Source organism: Homo sapiens, chromosome X (assembly GCF_000001405.40).
Source record: "Homo sapiens chromosome X, GRCh38.p14 Primary Assembly".
Lineage (NCBI taxonomy): Eukaryota > Metazoa > Chordata > Mammalia > Primates > Hominidae > Homo > Homo sapiens.
Genome location: NC_000023.11, coordinates 100,919,317 through 100,939,068, shown reverse-complemented (window position 1 = coordinate 100,939,068; position 19,752 = coordinate 100,919,317). Strand labels below are relative to the sequence as shown.

The 19,752-nt window shown below is 43.7% G+C and overlaps 1 protein-coding gene across 4 annotated transcripts in view, besides 2 other annotated features; it reads left to right on the top strand.

The window, feature by feature from the left end:
• Positions 1 to 19,752, top strand: part of XKRX (XK related X-linked) — a 72,428-nt gene that overhangs the window by 20,275 nt on the left and 32,401 nt on the right. For 2 of the 4 annotated variants that reach the window (XM_011530954.4, NM_212559.3), the window contains exons 1-2: positions 10,152 to 11,099; positions 16,008 to 16,276. In XM_011530954.4, the coding sequence (XP_011529256.1) occupies positions 10,726 to 11,099; positions 16,008 to 16,276 (643 nt within the window). In that variant the 5' untranslated portion in view covers positions 10,152 to 10,725. The other 2 variants (XM_011530955.2, XM_017029517.2) reach the window with 2 other exon arrangements.
• Positions 9,506 to 9,555: an enhancer, noted in NCBI's record as "active region_29806". NCBI's record gives its function as "activates an Ori minimal core promoter by ATAC-STARR-seq in GM12878 lymphoblastoid cells {active_cell/tissue: GM12878}" and the evidence as "EXISTENCE:reporter gene assay evidence [ECO:0000049][PMID:35858748]".
• Positions 10,749 to 11,948: an enhancer, noted in NCBI's record as "CDK7 strongly-dependent group 2 enhancer chrX:100182110-100183309 (GRCh37/hg19 assembly coordinates)". NCBI's record gives its function as "activates an origin of replication core promoter dependent on BRD2, BRD4, P300/CBP, MED14 and CDK7 cofactors, with strong dependence on CDK7, by STARR-seq in HCT116 cells {active_cell/tissue: HCT116}" and the evidence as "EXISTENCE:reporter gene assay evidence [ECO:0000049][PMID:35650434]".

Sequence of the window (19,752 nt, the reverse complement as noted above, 5' to 3'; positions counted from 1 at the left end):
TTGCTTTTTTCCTTTAATATATACTGGAGACTGTTTCATATCAGCACATACAGAGCTTCTTTATGGCTATAGGGCAGCACTATGTGGAATCTAAGTATTTCATAATTACTGCAGATGTACCAGAATGTATTTTAGCAGTTCTTTATTGATGGATATTTGCATTGCATCTCATCTTTGGTGATTATCAACATGATTATACATATTTCACATGTGAGAGTATATCTTTAGGAGAAATTGGTTAGGACACTTTGGTGATTGACCTCTTCAAGTGGCTGTATAACCACAGTGCTGTGTGTAGAATCAATTTGCCATGCTTAAATAGGGAGTCACAGGATGTTAGAGCTAGAAGAGATCTTAGAGATTCCAGAGAAACCCAAGATTACATGAAGACTTAGAGGCAGATTCAAGACTAAATCCCACAGTTGTTTGTTTGTTTGTTTGAGACAGAGTCTTGCTCTGTTGCCCAGGCTGGAGTGCAGTGACATGATCTCGGCTCACTGCAGCCTCTGCCTCCCGGGTTCAAGCGATTCTCCTGCCTCAGCCTCCCGAGTAGTTGGGATTACAGGAGCATGCCACCACGCCCGGCTAATTTTTACGTTTTTAGTAGAGACGAGATTTCACCATGTTGGCCAGGCTGGTCTCAAACTCCTGACCTCAGGTGATCCGCCCGCCTCAGCCTCCCAAAGTGCTGGGATTGCAGGCATGAGCCACTGCACCCGGCCAATCCCACAGTTTTTTACTCCAGTCCATAATGTAGCTCTTTGTACTATACCACACTGCTGTTTGTGAGAGAGATTTGGCATGGCCTGATTTCTGTCCTAAAAAGCAGGACTGTGCATTTTCCGGCCCACTGTGATGTCACTATCCGGTCTACCTGATTTCTCTTTCTAGGGTCTGACTCTGTCAGCCTGACTTTCCCTACTTTCTCTGCTGCTCTGGACACTACTAATAACTACTCTAATAATAACTACTTTTTTCTTTTAAAATTAAAACCAAAGTCCTTTATGGTTTCGGGATCCTTTCTTTAGTAGTAAAGGCAAATAAGTGAGGCAGGAGTGCTAGGGAGGTGATCTGGTAATGGCCCAAGATTCATGATCTTTCCCATTGCTTTCTACTGTTAGCTGGTCCATTGAGTCATCATGATGTAGTCTAGAGAGAGTCCTTTTCTTCTCTTGGCACTGCTGGAATATCTCCTTTTCTTGACCATAAGATTGAGCAGCTTAAGGTCCAACAAGTGCTTAATGTACCCAATAAGGAAGAATATGAAAATGTGCACACAGAGTTTCATTATTACTGAATTATATTAGGGAAGTAATATTCTTTGTTTGCAGCCCAAGGAAATCAAGAGCCTTGGTGTCAGGGACAGACCCTTGTGTGCGAATGACTCTGAAGTTGACCTTAACTCTGGCCCAGGACACAGAGGTGTAAACTGCTACAAACGTTTTTGAAATCAACACTAGGATGATGGATAAAACTGTACTAGGAGTAGACTGTAGAGCTATCCCTAGGACAGTTTTTCTCGAAGTATAGTCCTCTGACCACCTGCATTGTTCAAAAGTTGGCACTCTGGAGTCTGCAAGTAGTCCTTCTCTGCCCTCAAGTTATTCTTATATGAACTTAACTATGAAAACTACTGCCTAAGAAATGGTAAACTGGGGAGATGGTCACAAGTCTTTCAATTTGAAGCAGCTTATAAAATTAGTGATAAGAGCTGACTAGCAATTCCAGGTCGTGTACAGTTAATGTCATTTGGGGAGATGTAAATACTACTTTTAGGTGGCCGGGCGCGGTGGCTTATGCCTGTAATCCTAGCACTTTGGGAGGCCAAGGCGGGTGGATCATTTGAGTTCAGGAGTTCGAGACCAGCCTGGCCAACATGGTGAAACCTCGTCTCTACTAAAAATACAAAAATTAGCTGGACATGGTGGCACGTGCCCATAATCCCAGCTACTCAGGAGGCTGAGGCAGAGAATCGCTTGACCCTGGGAGGCAGAGGCTGCGGTGAGCAGAGATCTCGCCACTGCACTCCATTCTGGGCAAGAGAGTGAGACCCTGTCTCAAAAAAAAAAAAAAAAGGCTGTGTTAGGTGCCCCATGTGCTCCCACAGACCCTGTGCTTCTGTTACAACCTGACATGGTTTGGCTCTGTGTCTCCACCCAAATCTTATCTCGAATTGTAATTTCCACGTGTGGGGGGTGGGGGGACCAGGTGAGAAGGGATTGGATCATGGGGGTGTTCTTGTGATAGTGAGTTCTCATGAGAGCTGATGGTTTTAAAGTGTGGCACTTCCTCGTTCCTGCACTCACTCTTTCCTGCCGCCTTGTGATGAAGGTGCCTGCTTCCCCTTCTGCCATTATTGTAAGTTTCCTGAGGCCTCCCCAGCCATGTGGAACTGTGAGTCAATTAAACCTCTTTCCTTTATAAATCACTCAGTCTTGGGCCAGCCGGCCTGCCTGCCTTCCTTCCTTCCTTTCTTCTTTTTCTTTTCTTTTCTTTTCTTTTTTTTTTTTTTTTTTTTTTTTTTTTTTGAGACAGAGTCTGGCATTGTTGCCCAGGCTGGAGTGCAGTGGCATGATCACAGCTCACTGCAGCCTCTGCCTCCTGGGTTCAATCGATTCTCCTGCCTCAGCCTCCCAAGTAGCTGGGACCACAGGTGCACGCCACCATGCCTGGCTAATTTTTGTATTTTTAGTAGAGATAGGGTTTCACCATTTTGGCCAGGCTGGTCTTGTACTCCTGGCTTCAAGTGATCTGCCCACCTCAGCGTCCCAAAGTGCTGGGATTACAGGTGTGAGCCACCTTGCCCGGCCATGGGTATTTCTTTATAGCAGTGTGAGAATGGACTAATACACAACCTTTATCATGCTGTATTGTGATTGAATGTTTTTGTCACTTCCCTGTATAATCCAGAGGGTTTTCAGTTGTGAGCAACAGAAATTGACTGGCTAATTTAGGCAGAAAACGTATATATTGAAAGCATATTGAATAGCTCACAAAATCACCAGCTGGACTGGAGAACTAGACTCAGGCCTATATAGCCAACATCACAGCTGCCACTGTTACTACCACCAAGAGGAGAAAGGGACTCTCCCTGGACTACATGATGACTCAATGGACAAGCTAAGAGTTGAAAGCAACAGGAAAGTTCACGAATCTTGGGCCATTACCAGATCACCTCCCTAGCACTAGTGAGTGCCTACCACCACCACTCTAACTGCCATCAGTGTTAACTCAGATTCTCCAAGGAGCAGATACTAAGATGGAATTAGATATGCAAGAGATTGATTGAGGGAAATGCCCATGACAGAAAGCGTGAGAACTGGAAGAGGCTGGAAGAACTGTCAGACTGCAATGTAAATCTGACATTTATGGATAAGAGAAGGCAAGAAGAAGTTTCGGAAGGAAGAGTCTTGGCCTGAAGAGCAGTTCTAATAAAATTTGCCCTAGCTGATGGGAGTCCTTTAGCCAAAGCTGCCTATTGGAATAGTTCTGTCTTCCGGAAATGGATCTGACTTAGTATCACTGCTGTGCTCAGTCACTGGCTGGAAGCAATGTGGCCTCAAAGAAAAGCTGCGAATATTGGGCTGAATTTAGAACCTAGCAGCTAGCTAGGGCCAAGGTCATTTACATTCCCCATGCTGGGAGAACTGAAAGGCACATTTTCGTAGCTGTCTCAATCAGAGATTTTCCACTGCTTTGGGTCGCTGGCTCCCAGTCCAAGGGATGGATCCTTGGATTGGGTGAGCCAAGGTCATGTGCCTGTGTTCTGACTGCAAGGGGGACCTGCTTCCCACCAAGATTCCTAAGCCCCCTCTCCCAAATAAAGGGGTTCATATGCTGGACAGCAACCCCCACAAAGGACAAATGTCCACTATACTGTGTGACCTCCTTAAGAGCAAAGATCTTTGTCTTGCTGATTGCAATTATAAATATTTACAAATAAATGTTTATTGAAGTAACTGAATGCCCCACAATGCTATATCTGACTAAGTAAAAAAGAAGAAAAGTGAAATAACTGAATGAACGTAACCAGCTGGTGTTCAAATGCCCTTACATACTCTCTCTCTCTCTGTCTCTCTCTGTCTCTCTCTGTCTCTCTCACACACACTCTCTCTCAGTCAATCAATTTAGCTCTCAGGGAAATGCAAACCAAATCCACTAGGATGACTATAATTAAAAAGACAGATAAAAATTGTTGTCAAGTATGTGGAAAAAGTGGAACCATCATACACGGCTGAACACGGCTGATGGAAATGTAAAATGGTGCAGCCACTTTAGAAGAGTCTGGCGATCCCTCAAAACATAGTTACCATATGATCTAGCATTTTACTCCCAAGTATGTACCCAAGTGAACTGAAAACACATATTCATGCAAATGATCCTCATAAGAGCCAAAAAGTGGAGACAATCCTGTTGTGGTTAATATTATGTGTCAACTTGGCTAGGCTATTGTGCCCAGTTGTTTGGTCACACACCAGTCTAGATGTTGTAGTGAAGGTATTTTTCAGAGGGGATTAACAAAATCAGTAGATAGATTACCCTCCATAATGTCAGTGGGCTTCATCCAATCAGTTTAAGGCAATAAGAGCAAAGGCCGAGGTCTCCTGAAGAAGAAGGAATTCTGCCTTCAGGCTGCGATATAGAAATTCTGCCTGCATTTCAAGCCTTTGCATCCAAGACTGCAACACCATCTCTTTTCTGAATTTCCAGCCTGCCAGCCTGCCCCAAGTTTCAGACCTGCCAGTCCCCTAAATTGCATAAGCTAATTTCTTAAAATATATCTCCACCCATCCCCTTGTGCCAATTGGTTGTTTCTCTGTGATAGATCCATACAGTGTAGTATTACCATAAAAAGGAATGAAGTACTAATACATGCTACGACATGGATGAACCTTGAAAACATCATACTAAGTGAAAGAAACCAGATACAAAAGGTCATATATGATCATATATTGTATGATTCTATCCAGAATAGACAAATATATTGAGATGGAAAGTGGATTCATGGTTGCCTAGTGCTGCGAGGAGTGGGGAATGGGGAATGAGTGCTTAATGGGTATGGGTTTCTTGGGGTGATGAAATGTTCCGGCACTAAGTTGTGGTAATGACTGCATGACTTTGTACTAAAACTACTAAATTGTACACTTTAAATGGGTGAATTGTATGGCATATGAGTTATTTCCAAATAAAGAGTATTATTTAAAAAATTAAATAATATCATTATATTCCCCTCCCTGACCCTTCTCTTCCACCAGGCAATATAAATAGAGCTTGCCAGCTGCCTGGCAACACCCAACATCCCAAATGCCATGCTGCATTATGTGGCAGCACTTCTTTCCCTTCAAGACTAATTTAGATGTCATTTCTAACCAGATTTGTTGAAGAAAAATGCTAGGGGTGAGGGCTGCAGGGAAGTTACTTCTGTTTTAACTCCAGGCCCAAATCCCAGCTATGGATGATACTGATGAGGGAGTGGCTCAGAACTAACAGGCAAGGGTCTTTGTTCTCAGGGAGTTTATAGCAAAAAGAAAAATAAGACCTAGATGATACGACTGATTTTGCATTCTGTTTTTTTTTTTTTTTTTTTTTTAGACGGAATCTCACCATCACCTAGGTTGGAGTGCAATGGCACAATCTCGGTTCACTGCAACCTCTACCTCCTGGGTTCAAGCGATTCTTGTGCCTCAGCCTCCGGAGTTGCTAGGATTACAGATGTGTGCCACCACACCTGGCTAATTTTTGTATTTTTAGTAGAAATGGGGTTTCACCATGTTGCCCAGTCTGGTCTTGAACTGCTGACCTCAGGTGATCTACCCACCTCGGCCTCCTAAAGTGCTGGGATTAACAGGTGTGAACCACTGCGCCTGGCTTTTTTTCTTTTTCTTTTTCTTTTTTTTTTTTGAGACAGAGTTGCTCTGTTGCCCAGGTTGGAGTGCAGTGGCACAGTCACAACTCACTGCAGCTTCAACCTCCCGGGCTCAAGCGATCCTCCCCACTTCAGCCTCCAGAGTAGCTAGGACTACAGGTGTGTGTCACCATGCCCAGCTAATTTTGTTTTTACTTTTTTGTAGAGACAGGGTCTCACTTTGTTGCCCAGGTTGGTCTCAAACTCCTGGGCTCAAGCAATCCTCCCACCTCAGTCTCCCAAAGCGCTGGGATTACAGGTGTGAGCCACCATGCCTGGCCTCTAGATATCTTTTAAGCATTCTAACAGCCCAAACTGAGCATTCTTTAGAGGGAAGCCATCTTCCATTCTGGCTATTGATTCTCTGGGCCTTGCCCATCACCTCCCACCAATAAGTGTTCTGTGACTGGACTGTCAGCCACTTGCTGCACATCTCTGTCCTTCCTCTCCTCTTTCCTCATGGATGCCACGCACCTCTTACACATCCATTCCTTGGAGGCTTTTGGGCAGTCTTCAGGCTGCAGAGGCTTGGAAAGCTCAACCCCATCCCTGAGCCTTATAGAGGGATTCTGAATGCTGATAAAGATGCCAAGAGCTTTTAGACCACATGGCTTTTAGATGCGCTCTTTGTTCCTGTTGAGTCAGTGGTTGGAAATAGAGTGGTAAGGAGTCAGATCTTGTTCTTCCCCTTTCTTGCAGAATTCTAGTGCTTCTCAGGAGGAGAAATTTATGCTTGAACACTACCTGGCATTCAGGAGGCAGCCTAGGTGTCACCTCAGATGACTAGTCTGTGGGAGATCAGTGCTTTTAATGGGACAGGGGTTCCTAGAGCCTCAGCAGCCTTATGACTGCCAACATTTCCAGCATCTTTAGTCCCAAGAAGAGTAAAGAGCTGGAATCTTGAGATGGCCTGAGAGAGCAAAGAGTGTTTGGACAGAAACAGCAAATTCTCAGTTAGCTACTCCCAGCAGGGCAAAGGAACGGGGAAATAAGAGACCAGAGGATTTAGTGACCTAAAGCGCCAGAGAATCCTAGGGCTGAAAATAGAGAAGTTGGTGGGTGAGGGTGATCAGATGACAGGAACTTTACAGGTCTATACCAGTCATGGGGGAGTCCAACAAAAGTACAGTAATAAGGGCTCTGCCCTCAAGGAGCCCGTGATAATTTAGTTGGGGAATAAAAATTAATATACTTGAAATAATTTTGGTGCTACACTCTGGTATAAACAAAAGAATGCTATAGAAATCCTTGAGAAGGGACAGATCATGTGGTCTGGGAACCTCTGTGAGCTGATGGCTGAATGAGACAGTGCTCATTCAGCCAGAGGAGTTTATGCCCCAGCTACAGTGGCCACAGCTTTTAGAGATGAGTGTGTCTGAGTCTTGCATGGTTTCAAGGAGGAAGTATGGGGGAGGAAGCGTCATCATCATCACCATTTGTCAATCACCATTGTCATCAACAAGTGCCACAATAAACAGTCATTGAGCATCCTTCCCTCACTAACTTTACATTTTTGGGGGGAGGCAGGACAAACACAGAAATAGTTGAAGGACTAGTATGAGAGAGCATGTGCCAGTAGCATGAAGAGAGAAAAATGAGGGTTGGGGAGGTGACAGAAGGCTTCTTGGAGGTGGGAGCACTTCGGCTGACCCTTGAAAGAAAGTTATGGTTTGGACTAATGGAGAAAAGGGTGAAGGGGGTTGTAAATCGCATCAACAAGGCAGAGGTGGGAGTGAGCAACGCAAATAGGAGAAGTGAGAAAACTGGCTGGCCTTGTGGAAGGAGTAGTGTGGGCAATAAAATCTGAGAGGGAAGTAGTGTGATGATTATATAGAGCCTTGAATGACAGACAGAAGGAGTCATTTTGGAACAAAGTAGGAAGGCATTGTAAATTTTTGTATTTGGGGAGAGACAAGGCCATGGAGAAGAAGGAGGAAAGGCTAAAAGGTAAACGTTGGGATTCTACATTCTTCTTCTTAGCTTTACTCTCCCATGTTTTTTTTTTTTTTTATTTTTAATTTTTATTTTTTTGAGATGGAGTTTCACTCTTGTCACCCAGGCTGGAGTGCAATGGTGCTATCTTGGCTCACTGCAACTTCTGCCTCCTGGGTTCAAGGGGTTGTCCTGCCTCAGCCTCCCGAGTAGCTGGGATTACAGGTGCCCACCACCACGCCCAGCTAATTTTTGAATTTTTAGTAGAGACAGGATTTCACCATGTTGGTCAGGCTGGTCTCAAACTCCTGATCTCAGGCCATTCACCCACCTTGGCCTCCCGAAATGCTGGGATTACAGGCATGAGCTACCGCGCCCGGCTGACTCTCTCATGTTTAGGGGGACCAACTCACCCTATCCCAGTGAAATGGGATTAATTGGTCACCTTGCCTGAGATTCACCTTGTGAACAGTTACCTAGAGCAGCCCCAAGAGGTTCTGCACCATATACTGGTGGTGGAGAACCTTGTCCCAGTTGGAATGTCCCAACTAATAAGAAAAAGAACACTCTCTGAAGTTGTTCTCAATAGTGTTGACCTCCTTCATGAAATGGAAAGGAGAAAGGAGCAGCCTCCTAGCCCAGCTGCTAGCATAGGTGCAGACCAAGATGCGGAGTCTGCTTCAGAAGGTGACAACCTTTAGATGTTGAATCTGTCCCTGAATCAGCCCTGGGGAAAGGAGGCAGCAATCATGGAAACCTTAAAAAAACAAAAAACAACATAATGACAGGACAACCTGGAGGCCATTATTTTGGTGGCTGCTACTTGGCCACTCCTCACATAGATTTGTTTTACTGACTTCCTGCAGCAAAAGGAGATTGGCACAGGCTCTGCTACATAATCATCATTATTATTATTATTATTATTATTATTATTATTATTATTAAGACGTAATCTTGCTCTGTTGCCCAGGCTGGAGTGCAGTGGCGTGATCTCAGCTCACTGCAACCTCTGCCGTCCGGGTTCAAGTTTTTCTCCTGCCTCAGCCTCCTGAGTAGCTGGGATTACAGTCACGCACCACCACGACCAGCTGATTTTTGTATTTTTAGTAGAGATGGGGTTTCACCACGTTGGCCAGGCTGGTTTCGAACTCCTGACCTCAAGTGATCTGCCTGCCTCAGCCTCCCAAAGTGCTGGGATTACAGGCGTGAACCACTGTGCCTGGCCTTCATCTATATTATTACCAGGAGGCAGATGTGTTCTCTTTTTCTCTGAGGTTTAGAATTATGCAAATGAAGATATGAAAACAAAAGCTCAGTGAGGTGGGGAGGATTACACTTAAGAATACAGGTAATTTTCAAAGCTCTTTAAGACACCCCTCTCAGTTTTTACTAACAGCTCTCTCTTGGCTCTTTGCCAGTCTGTTTAGAATTTGGCACCTCTTCATAACCTTTCAACCAAAGACCTGTAAGTTCATTCTAAAGCTCCTATCCTGGCCTCATTTTGCAAGTGGAGAAATCAAGGCATAAAATATGAGCTTTCAGTGTCTGTGGGCTGACCTTGAGTCTTGACCTTTATCCTGTTCTATCTTCCCTCCGCCGAAAACTCTGACCCTATTCCTCCCAGGTTCCCCCTTCATGATATTATCTGGAGGGCAATAGGACCTAGGGAGGTTCCACCCTGCGGCGGAGGGAGACACACCTGCCTAACAGCGTGGGTAGAGTGAGTGTTGAAGCAAGTCACTTAACTAGTTAGGGAGGGCGGGGTAGAAGTGGGGGCCTGCTGCTCCTAGGGAGGAGTAAAGCTGTGGCTCCTGCCTGGGTCTGGAGGTGGTGGTCAGAAGTGCTTCTGAAGAGCGGCCCAAGCCCCTTTTTGTCCCGCCACTCCACAACGAGCATCCCTCGGCTGGCCGCCTGCCCGGGAACTCTCCGGCTGGTTTTGTTTGGCCGCAGCCGTCCCGCCCATCTCGCCCGCCCCCGCCGTCCCGGTGCCTTAGTTTTTGAAGCTGCCGACCTCTCGCAGCTGGAATCGCAGACCAGGCAGGACCCTGGCAGCAGACGGCGTCCAAGAGTTTGGCGACCTCCGTCCAGCCAGGTTGGCGCCCCGCACATCGTGCCTCTCACTAGCAAAGTTTCTCCGAGGAGAAGCAGCCCCTCCAGCCTTTTCTTCATCCTGTAGAGCGAGCGCGCTCTGCTTCTGTCCCTCAACACTGCATTCGGAGACAGGGTGGTGACAATACTCCACTCCCGGGCCAGGCGGTCTTGGGGGCGGGGCTTGGGGGAATCCGAGGAGCTATCCTGAGAACCCTGGACTCGGCAAAGGTCCTGAGAGCGCGCAGGTGAGCGGGCCAGCTGATAGCTACAGCCTAGCAATAGCTAGGATACCTAGGCACTGAACTGAATCCCCTCTTCTGCCCTCCTTCTTCTGCGCCCGCTCTTCTGCCCTGGCTCAGCTCTCCGCTGACTTGAGAGGACACACTGGTCAGGACTCTTTGTGAGGAGCTGCTGAGTGTCGGTGCCCCCGACAGATCGGCTACACCCTGCCTGAGGGGCTGCGAAAGGAGCCGCCACGGAAGCCGCTGTTCTCATGACTCTTCACGTCCCTGGAGTTGGACTCTGGATGGGGCGCTGGGATGCTTGCTTTTGTCTTGTTCAAGTTTCACAGCAAGTATGTTGACGATTGGAATCGGGGCCAATCAAGAGTCAAGTTCAAAGTGGTACTCCTGGGCTTTCCATCCCAGACTCCAAGTCGAATCTGAGTCTAGAAGAGAGCGGTTTCTTGCTCTAACTAGTGAATCTCTGTTCCCAAACTGGACTTGACAGAGCTCTCCTCACCTATACTTGGACTGTAGCGGCCATAGGGTTCTCTTGGGGATGGGTGGGAGGGTGCTATGAACACAAGACCACAACATTCAGAAAGAACCTCGACAATGGACAGAGTTTATGAAATTCCTGAGGAGCCAAATGTGGATCCGGTTTCATCTCTGGAGGAAGATGTCATCCGTGGAGCCAACCCCCGATTTACTTTTCCATTTAGCATCCTTTTCTCCACCTTTTTGTACTGTGGGGAGGCTGCATCTGCTTTGTACATGGTTAGAATCTATCGAAAGAATAGTGAAACTTACTGGATGACATACACCTTTTCTTTCTTTATGTTTTCATCCATTATGGTCCAGTTGACCCTCATTTTTGTCCACAGAGATCTAGCCAAAGATAAACCGCTATCATTATTTATGCATCTAATCCTCTTGGGACCTGTTATCAGGTGAGCAACTTTTAAATCTTTTCCTTACCCCCCTAACCCCACCCCAGACTTGGGCAGAGAAAGATGAAAGATTTACAAGATGGATACTATGGCTCTAATCAATTCTCTCATTTCCTCCCACTCTCGGCTTCCCTGTCTACCATTCAGAAAACTTACCTGAAATCTTAAATGCCACCATGATGAACATGTGGTATGTACTTGTGTTCCAAAACAATGAACGATGCTATTTGGCCTGTGTAAACTAGAATGGGAACAACAAGACGTGATCACCCTGTGCATGAAGGCCATAGCTGCAGAGTGTGTAATTTTATTTAAAAAATTTTTTTTTTCTGAGACAAGGTCTTGCTCTGCCTCCCAGGCTACAGTGCAGTGGTGCGATCATGGCTCACTGCAGCCTTGATCTCCTGGGATCAAGCGAACCTCCCACCTCAGCCTCCAAGTAGCTGGGACCAAAGGAATGTGTCACCATGCCTGGTTAATTAAAAAAAAATTTTTATAGGCCGGGTGTGGTGGCTCATGCCTGTAATCCCAGCACTTTGGGAGGCTGAGGCGGGTGGATCACCTGAGGTCAGGAGTTCAAGACCAGCTGGCCAACATGGTGAAACCCCTGTCTCTACTAAAAATCAGCTGGGTGTGGTGGCGCATATCTGTAATCCCAGCTACTCTGGTGGCTGAGGCAGGAGAATCACTTGAACCCGGAAGGTAGAGGTTGCAGTGAGCCAAGATCGGTGCCACTGCACTCCAGCCTGGGCGATAGAGTGAGACTCCATCTCAAAAAAAAAAAAATTTTTTTTGTAGAGACGGGATCTCGTTATGTAGACTGGGCTCAAGTGATCTTCCTGCCTCAGCCTCCCAAAGTGAGCCACCGCGCCTGGTCTGAGTGTGTAATTTTGACTCTACCTTTTGGATGCTTTGTAAATTGGATAAAAGTTTCTTTACCCTGAGCTGCTTGGGCTGGTGCTACTGCCATTTTCAAATTTTCCAGAGTAATGTGACATCTGGAAACTATTTTAAACCATCTGTGGTAATCTGTACCCCAACCCAATATAGTTCAGTTCTCTGTCGGTTTATCAGTTTCCTATTTATCTCTTTGTATATTTCTGCAATAAAGATACGAAGTTGGGAGGGGGCAAAGGAAGGCAGTTCATCTCTCTATGTGGATGCAGTAGCACAATTTAATAGTATCAAGTATTTCCATTCAGATTGCCTTGAAGTGGAAAGAATGCACTTAATCCTAGCGAGATAGGCACCTGTGTCAACAGTCTCATCTGGATGCTATGGGGTTTTCAAGGTAGAGAGATGTTGCAAAACTTATGAGTTCAGGAGTAAGGAATGGACCAAGTTTGTCTTGATTGCAAGAGAGGCAGACAACTGCAGTCAGCCGAGGAATATGGGTCAGAGTGTTGCAATGGGAAGATACCTCATCATTAGACAACTAAAAAGTCTGTGAAACTAATTAAGGATGGAACTCACTCCTTTATAAAATTTCATATCTGTACACATGTATAATTTTTATTTGTCACTTATACCTCAATAAGGCCAAAAAAATTTTTTATCAATAAATTTTTAAGTGGGGAGGAATCGATTAGGCTCTATCAGAGAGAATATGGGATATCAATGGAAACAGTGGCCTGAAATTTGGAGTCTAGTCTTCCCCCTGTCATTGACTGGTTGTGTGTTCTTGGTAAAATCTCTGAAGATGGCTTCACAGGAAGGCATATAGAGTTCCCTCATCTGTAAAGCAAATGGGTTAGTCTAAATCATGGGTCTCAAACTCAAACACTTGCAGGGACCAGGCAGGTATCATAAATGAATGAAGCAGGCCTAGTATAAGAAAAAACAGTAGCCTTGTGTGAGATGATAAATGAAAACAAAGTCTCAGAGAAATACTGAGGAGTAGTGAGTACCATGGTAATCTGAAATCTTCATGACCTGCCTGAAGGAGGTAGCCCCTCTAGAGCCCTGGCGCATTGTTTCCATGTTGGAATTCAGACCCAGTATTGCCAGATCCACTAACTTTTCGGGAGATGCTCCCAAGACAGGATTTTTATATGAAATGTCATGATTTTAAATTTTCACAGCTGACTAAAACAATAACAACAACAACACAGGATGGACCAAACCATATCTGTTGGTCAGATATAACTCAGCTGGCCTATATGCATCTTTGGACTGGGTGATGTAAAGGTCCTTTACGGTTCTAAATCTTTGAAGTTAAGCTGTAAAAGGAAGACCTCATCTTGACCTTGAAACCAAGAAATTTAAAGTTGTGACTACAGGAGCAAATAAACCATTCATCCCTCCTTTTTCAAATACAATATATTGAGTTAACCAATCGAAAACTCTCAAGATACAAATTTCAGAAAGTACCCAGCTGCACCCTCCCCTCTTTTTGACTTCCTTTGTTTGCTTTGTGAACCCTCTGTGTAGAGTGTTGAGTACTGTTTTTCATTTTTGTTGTTTAGCTTCCACTAGAAATGATTGGGAAGCATTTATAACCTCAGGCAGCTTAGCCCACAGCAGAGAAAAGATAAAAACTCATAAATTATACTCTGGATTCGCTTATTTTCAAGGCCAATTACTTGTTAGATAGGTAGGAACTTGATTAGTGTTATCAGGCACATGAAGGTGCTTGTAGAGTCTGGGTGCCTTACATGAAATGCAAGCATACTTCCGAAATGAAAATGTACTCTAATTTATTGAAGCTTATAAATGGACAAACACCCTTACTTAAACCAGAAAATAGCCCTGAGAATAGAAACAGAACATTTATGTAAATGTAAACGGAACATTTCATGCCACCACCTTCTCCAATACTGTTCTCCAATTTAGCAATAGTACTGATGGGTTGGGGTTAAAATCTAAAATTTTTCATTGAAAATGCACTTATGCAGAACAAGAATAGGAAAAAAGTGTTGCTTTTTCTTCTCTGTTCTTTCTTTGCATCTTTTTCTTTCCCAGGTCTTAGAGTTTGTCCCTAGAAGGTGACAATTTCAAACTACATGCTTCAGAGTGGTACACATGCATCAGTCTTAGGGTGATCTATGGAGACTGGCAGCCAGCATATGTTCCAAATTTTCCTATCAGGAACTAAAGGCTAGAGAGCATATCAACCTCTGGGCTTGTCTTTGGTCTACTTTTCTGTTAAATTTCATTGCTGTTATTATTATCCTCTCCTCCCATAATTGCTTACCCTGTATTATTTTCTTCCTTCTTATTCTTTCATTTACTCAGCAAATATTTCTCAAATACCTACTAAGTGATAAGAGCTGTAAACAAGATAAATACAACCCTTGACCTCAGTCTCTTGGGCAAGACGTGTTAATGTCCACTACAAATGTTCTTACTAGTCATAAGTAGTCCACAGTTTTTATTCATTAAAGGTGAGTGGCGAAGTGGTAACTCAGGTGTTCCAGAACAAGATGTTCTAGTTGCTTCTCTTCCACTTACCACATCAGAACTGCTAAAGACTTCTGATTTGTATGGGGGAGGTGGGAGGGGCAGAGCAGGAAATGTCATCTTACCCTTATTCCAAGGATGATAGGCTTTCATAAGGATGTTTTTCTCTTCGTAAAGAAAGAATCCAGTTTAAAAGGCTTTTGTCCACAAACAGGACAAGAGGCACAAAAAGTAACTATTACAGTGATCTTTCGAGGGCCTAGTTATGTAGTTCATTCAGGTTTGAGTTGTCGTCTTTTAAGTACTTTTGTTGCTTTGATGGCTTCCTGTGTATATGAGATATTTTTTTTCCTCTGATCTGTCCCAAGACTTTTTGGCTGAGATATGGTTGTGAGCCCTTTCTTGAAAAAGCAGAATCTGGCCAGGCGCAGTGGCTCATGCCTGTAATCTCAGCACTTTGGGAAGCTGAGGTGGGTGGATCACCTGAGGTCAGGAGTTCAAGACCAGCCTGGCCAACATGGTGAAAACCCGTCTCTACTAAAAATACAAAAAAAAAAAAAAAAAACCTTAGCCGGACATGGTGGCACATGCCTGTAATCCCAGCTACTCAGGAGGCTGAGGCAGGAGAATCGCTTGAACCCAGGAGGCAGAGGTTACAGTGAGCTGAGATCGCGCCAGTGCACTCCAGCCTGGGCGACAGAGCAAGACTCTGTCTCAAAAAAAAAAAAAAAAAGAAAGAAAGAAAAAGAAAAAGCAGAATCTAAAACTTTGGTTATGGAGCTGAATGCTTTGAGGGAGGAATGCTTTACCTCACGAATTTGAGGTAAGAAAACAGGGCCTTTGGAACCTTCATTATTTTGCTAGGAAAACAGTATCGACTTAATACCTTTGTGTTCAAGGCACTTTTCTACCTGCCACAGGCCTATTCTTAAAAAGACAAAACAATTCCTCGAGTCCTCAAACAAGTACTTCTGAAACAGTGTTCTTAGGTCAGTCGATGACTGAACAAAAATGGATTTAGATTCATGTAACTTGTAGAAGGCATGATCCACCCTTTGACTTATGAGAAATGATCAGAACAGAAGAGAGAAAAAGACAAAAAGTAGTGCAGGCTGGCCATGGTGTCTCACACGTGTGATCCCAGCACTTTAGGATCCCAGCACTTTGGGTCAAGGCAGTAGGATTGCTTGAGCCCAGGAGTTTGAGACCAGTCTGGGCAACATGTCTAGATCTCCTCTCTACACAAATTAAAAATAGCTGGCATGGTGGCATGCGCCTGTAGTCCTAGCTACTCAGAAGGCTGAGGTGGGAGGATCATTTGAGCCTAGGAGGTCAAAGCTGCAATGAATTATGATTGTGCCACTGCACTCCAGCCAGGGTGATGGAGTAAGACCTTGTCTCAAAAATAAAATAAAGTAGCACAACCTCCCCAAGTTATTTTTTTCCCTCACTACAACCTCCCTTCCCAGGACAGCTTAGTTAAGTTTGCATGATGCTTTACTTCTGCAGATGTTTGGAGGCCATGATTAAGTACCTCACACTGTGGAAGAAAGAGGAGCAGGAGGAGCCCTATGTCAGCCTCACCCGAAAGAAGATGCTAATAGATGGCGAGGAGGTGCTGATAGAATGGGAGGTGGGCCACTCCATCCGGACCCTGGCTATGCACCGCAATGCCTACAAACGTATGTCACAGATCCAAGCCTTCCTGGGCTCAGTGCCCCAGCTGACCTATCAGCTCTATGTGAGCCTGATCTCTGCAGAGGTTCCCCTGGGTAGAGGTGAGTGGGGTCAGGAGAGGGGAGGGCTCCAGTTAAATCAAGGGTCTTAGAAGTCTAGACCCAAGCTGTCTAATAAACTGGCCACTAGCTTCATGTGGCTATTTAACTTAAAATTAAATAAAATTAAAAACTTGTTCATTAATACTAGCTACATTTCAAGTTCTCAGCAGCCGTGTGTTGCTAGCAACTACTGTATTGGATGGCACAGGTATAAACATTTCCATCATCACAGAAAGTTCTATCGGACAGCACTGGGAGATAGTTAAATAACTTGTGGAGTCAGACATCTCAAGCCTGCCAGATTTCTTAAACAGGTAAGCTGTTTAGACTAAAAATGTCACAGATAAACCTTCTCTGGGCCCAGAAGAAGCTAGTAATACCAGCAGTCAGTAGGATATTTTCCCTTGCCCAAAATGTTTAAATTATGCTGTTGTTTTGTTTGTTTAAGGATGGCAGTCTTTAATAAGAGGTTCCCAAATAGTACTGATCATCAGAATCATGTGATGAGCTTCTTTTTGAAATTATATTCACTCCCCAGACTTGAATCAATCTTAATATGTATTTCTAAAAGGTACCCAGTTGATTTTGATCAGCCACATTTGGGAACCAATGATTTAATCATTTCTGCTAATGCCAGTGGAGAGAAAGAAAAGGAGCGTGGGCTGGGCACGGTGGTTCAAGCCTGTAATCCCAGCACTTTGGGAGGCCAAGGCGGGTGGATCACAAGGTCAGGAGATTGAGACCATCCTGGCTAACATGATGAAAACCCGTCTGTACTAAAAATACAAAAAATTAGCCGGGCGTGGTGGCAGGCGCCTGTAGTCCTAGCTACTCGGGAGGCTGAGGCAGGAGAATGGCGTGAACCTGGGAGGCGGAGCTTGCAGTGAGCCGAGATCGCGTCACTGCACTCCAGCCTGGGTGACAGAGCAAGACTCCGTCTCAAAAAAAAAAAAAAAAAAAAAAAAAAAGCGTGGGGTTAATACTAATGAGAGTCAGGCCTGGACCAAGTTCTGACCTTCACTGTGATCTTTGGAGGAAGTTACAAAGCAATCACTGACCTAATTTCCCACTTGTAGAAGAGGGATCCTGAAATGAGTAAGACCTCTAGCAGAAGATGAAATGTGAGTCAGTGTTTTCAAAGTTGAGATAAATTGTTGTTAATGAATTTTAACAGCCTGAGATTTGCTTCATCTGCTTGGGCAGGCACTGGTATAGGTGTGGGTACAGGTTTGGACCATTTCCTATTAGATTCTAACCCTGTTTGGCAAAGTCCCATGTCTCAAATAAGGTAAGGAGAAAATTTGCCCTCTTTTGTCTTTTTTCCCCACTCAGAATTGTTCTTGAAGTTCTGTTGGTCTTGAAGCTTTTCACATACATAGTAGTTTGAGGAGAAAACTCTTTGGAAATGATGATGCTTTTCCTTTAAATCATCTAATAAAAATAGGTGTACATTACGGCTGGGCATGATGGCTCACGCCTGTAATCCTAACACTTTGGGAGGCCAAGACAGGCGGATCACTTGAAGTTGGGAGTTCAAAACCAGCCTGGCCAACATGTTGAAACCCCATCTCTACTAAAAACACAAAAAAAATCAAGGATGGGCATGGTGGCTGATACCTGTAATCCCAGCACTTTGGGAAGCCGAGGCAGGTGGATCACCTGAGGTCAGGAGGTTGAGACCAGCCTGGCCTGGCGAAACTCTGTCTCTACTAAAAATACAAAAATTAGCCGGGTATGGTGGTGGATGCTTATAATCCCAGCTACTTGGGAGGCTGATGCATGAGAATCACTTGAACCTGGGAGCCGAGATCTCACCGTTGCACTCCAGCCTGGGCAACAGAGCGAGACTCTGTCTCAAAAAAAAATTCAGCCAGGCGTGGTGGTGGGTGCCTGTAATCCCAGCTACTTGGGAGGCTGAAGCAGGAGAATTGCTTGAACCTGGGAGGTGGAGGTTGCAGTGAGCTGAGACTGCACCACTGCACCCCAGCCTGGGCGACAGAGGGAGACTCCCGTCTCATAAATAAATAAATAAATAACAAAAGTAATACATGCACAAAATGACATATAAGTAATTGTATTTGCACAGAAAATTTCTGGAAACTATGCAAGAAACTACCTCTGCGGAGTGGGAATGAAAAGTCAGCAGTCTTACTTTTTAAAATTCTTCTGTATGGTTTGAAAATTTTTTTTGTGATCATGCATTACTAGTTTTGGTCTTTATCTTTTTTTAATTACAAAAGTCAGACATGGTTATAGTAAAAATTAAAAACCATACAGAATAGATATAAAATAGGAAACGTAATCTCACTCCCCAAAGATAACCTCTGTTAATCATCCAGTATATATCCTTCTGGACTTATTTTTACTATGTAAACATAAACATACATACAATATATATTGTACATGTTTTTGCCCCAAAATGGACTGTATGAAACATTCTGTCAACAAAGTATTTTTCAAAAGTACAGTATGCCAGTATGTCTTTTCTCAAGTTATTTATATATACATGTATAACAATAATAAATATATAATATACATTTCCTTTATATGAATTAGACTTTTTATTCTCCTAATTTTCTATTGATAGGATTCTATTGATTGTCTCAAAAAGGAAAAAAAAAGGTAGCACAACCTCCCCTAGTTATTTTTTCCCCTCATTACAACCTCCCTTCTCAGGACAGCTTTAGTTAAGTTCCCATGATGCTTTACTTCTGCAGATGTTTGGAGGCCATGAGTAAGGACTTCACACTGTGGAAGAAAGAGGGGCAGCAGGAGCCCTATGTCAGCCTCACAAATTTTAATTTTTCACAAAAAAGTTGTTTCCTAATTGCAAATTATGCCACAGTAAACATCTTTATAAATACCTGTGTACATGAATGAGACTTTGTAGGATAAATTTATAGCAGTAGAATTGCTGGGTGGAAGGATATGTATGTTTAAAATTTTATTGATATTGCCAAATAACTCTTCCAAAAAGATATATGAATTTATACTCTCACCAACAGTATACAAATGTGCCTGTTTCTGTTTCTTCATATCTTAAACTCAATATTCTTTATTTGTATAATTATAAAATAATTGGCTTTTAAAATAATTGACTTTTAAAATAATTCGCTTTCTTTGGTTATGAATGAAGCTGAGCATCTTTTTGTGTTTGGTCATTGTGTGTTCTGTGAATTGCTTGTTTATATATTTTACTCGCTTTTTCTAGTGGGTTGTCTTTTTCATATTAATTTTTAGGAGCTATTTACTTATTCTTGTTATTAATCCTTTCTCTGCTGTGAATATGTATGCATATATTTGTATAATTTTTTGCTTGTACATACACACATTTTAAATATGTATATACATGTCATACGTGTAATATGTGTGTGATATATTTAATATCCACAATACACTTTGTAGTATCTTCTGGCATTCTGAAGTATTACATTTTTATGTATTCAAATTCTTTATTGCTTTTAGATTTTGTGCCT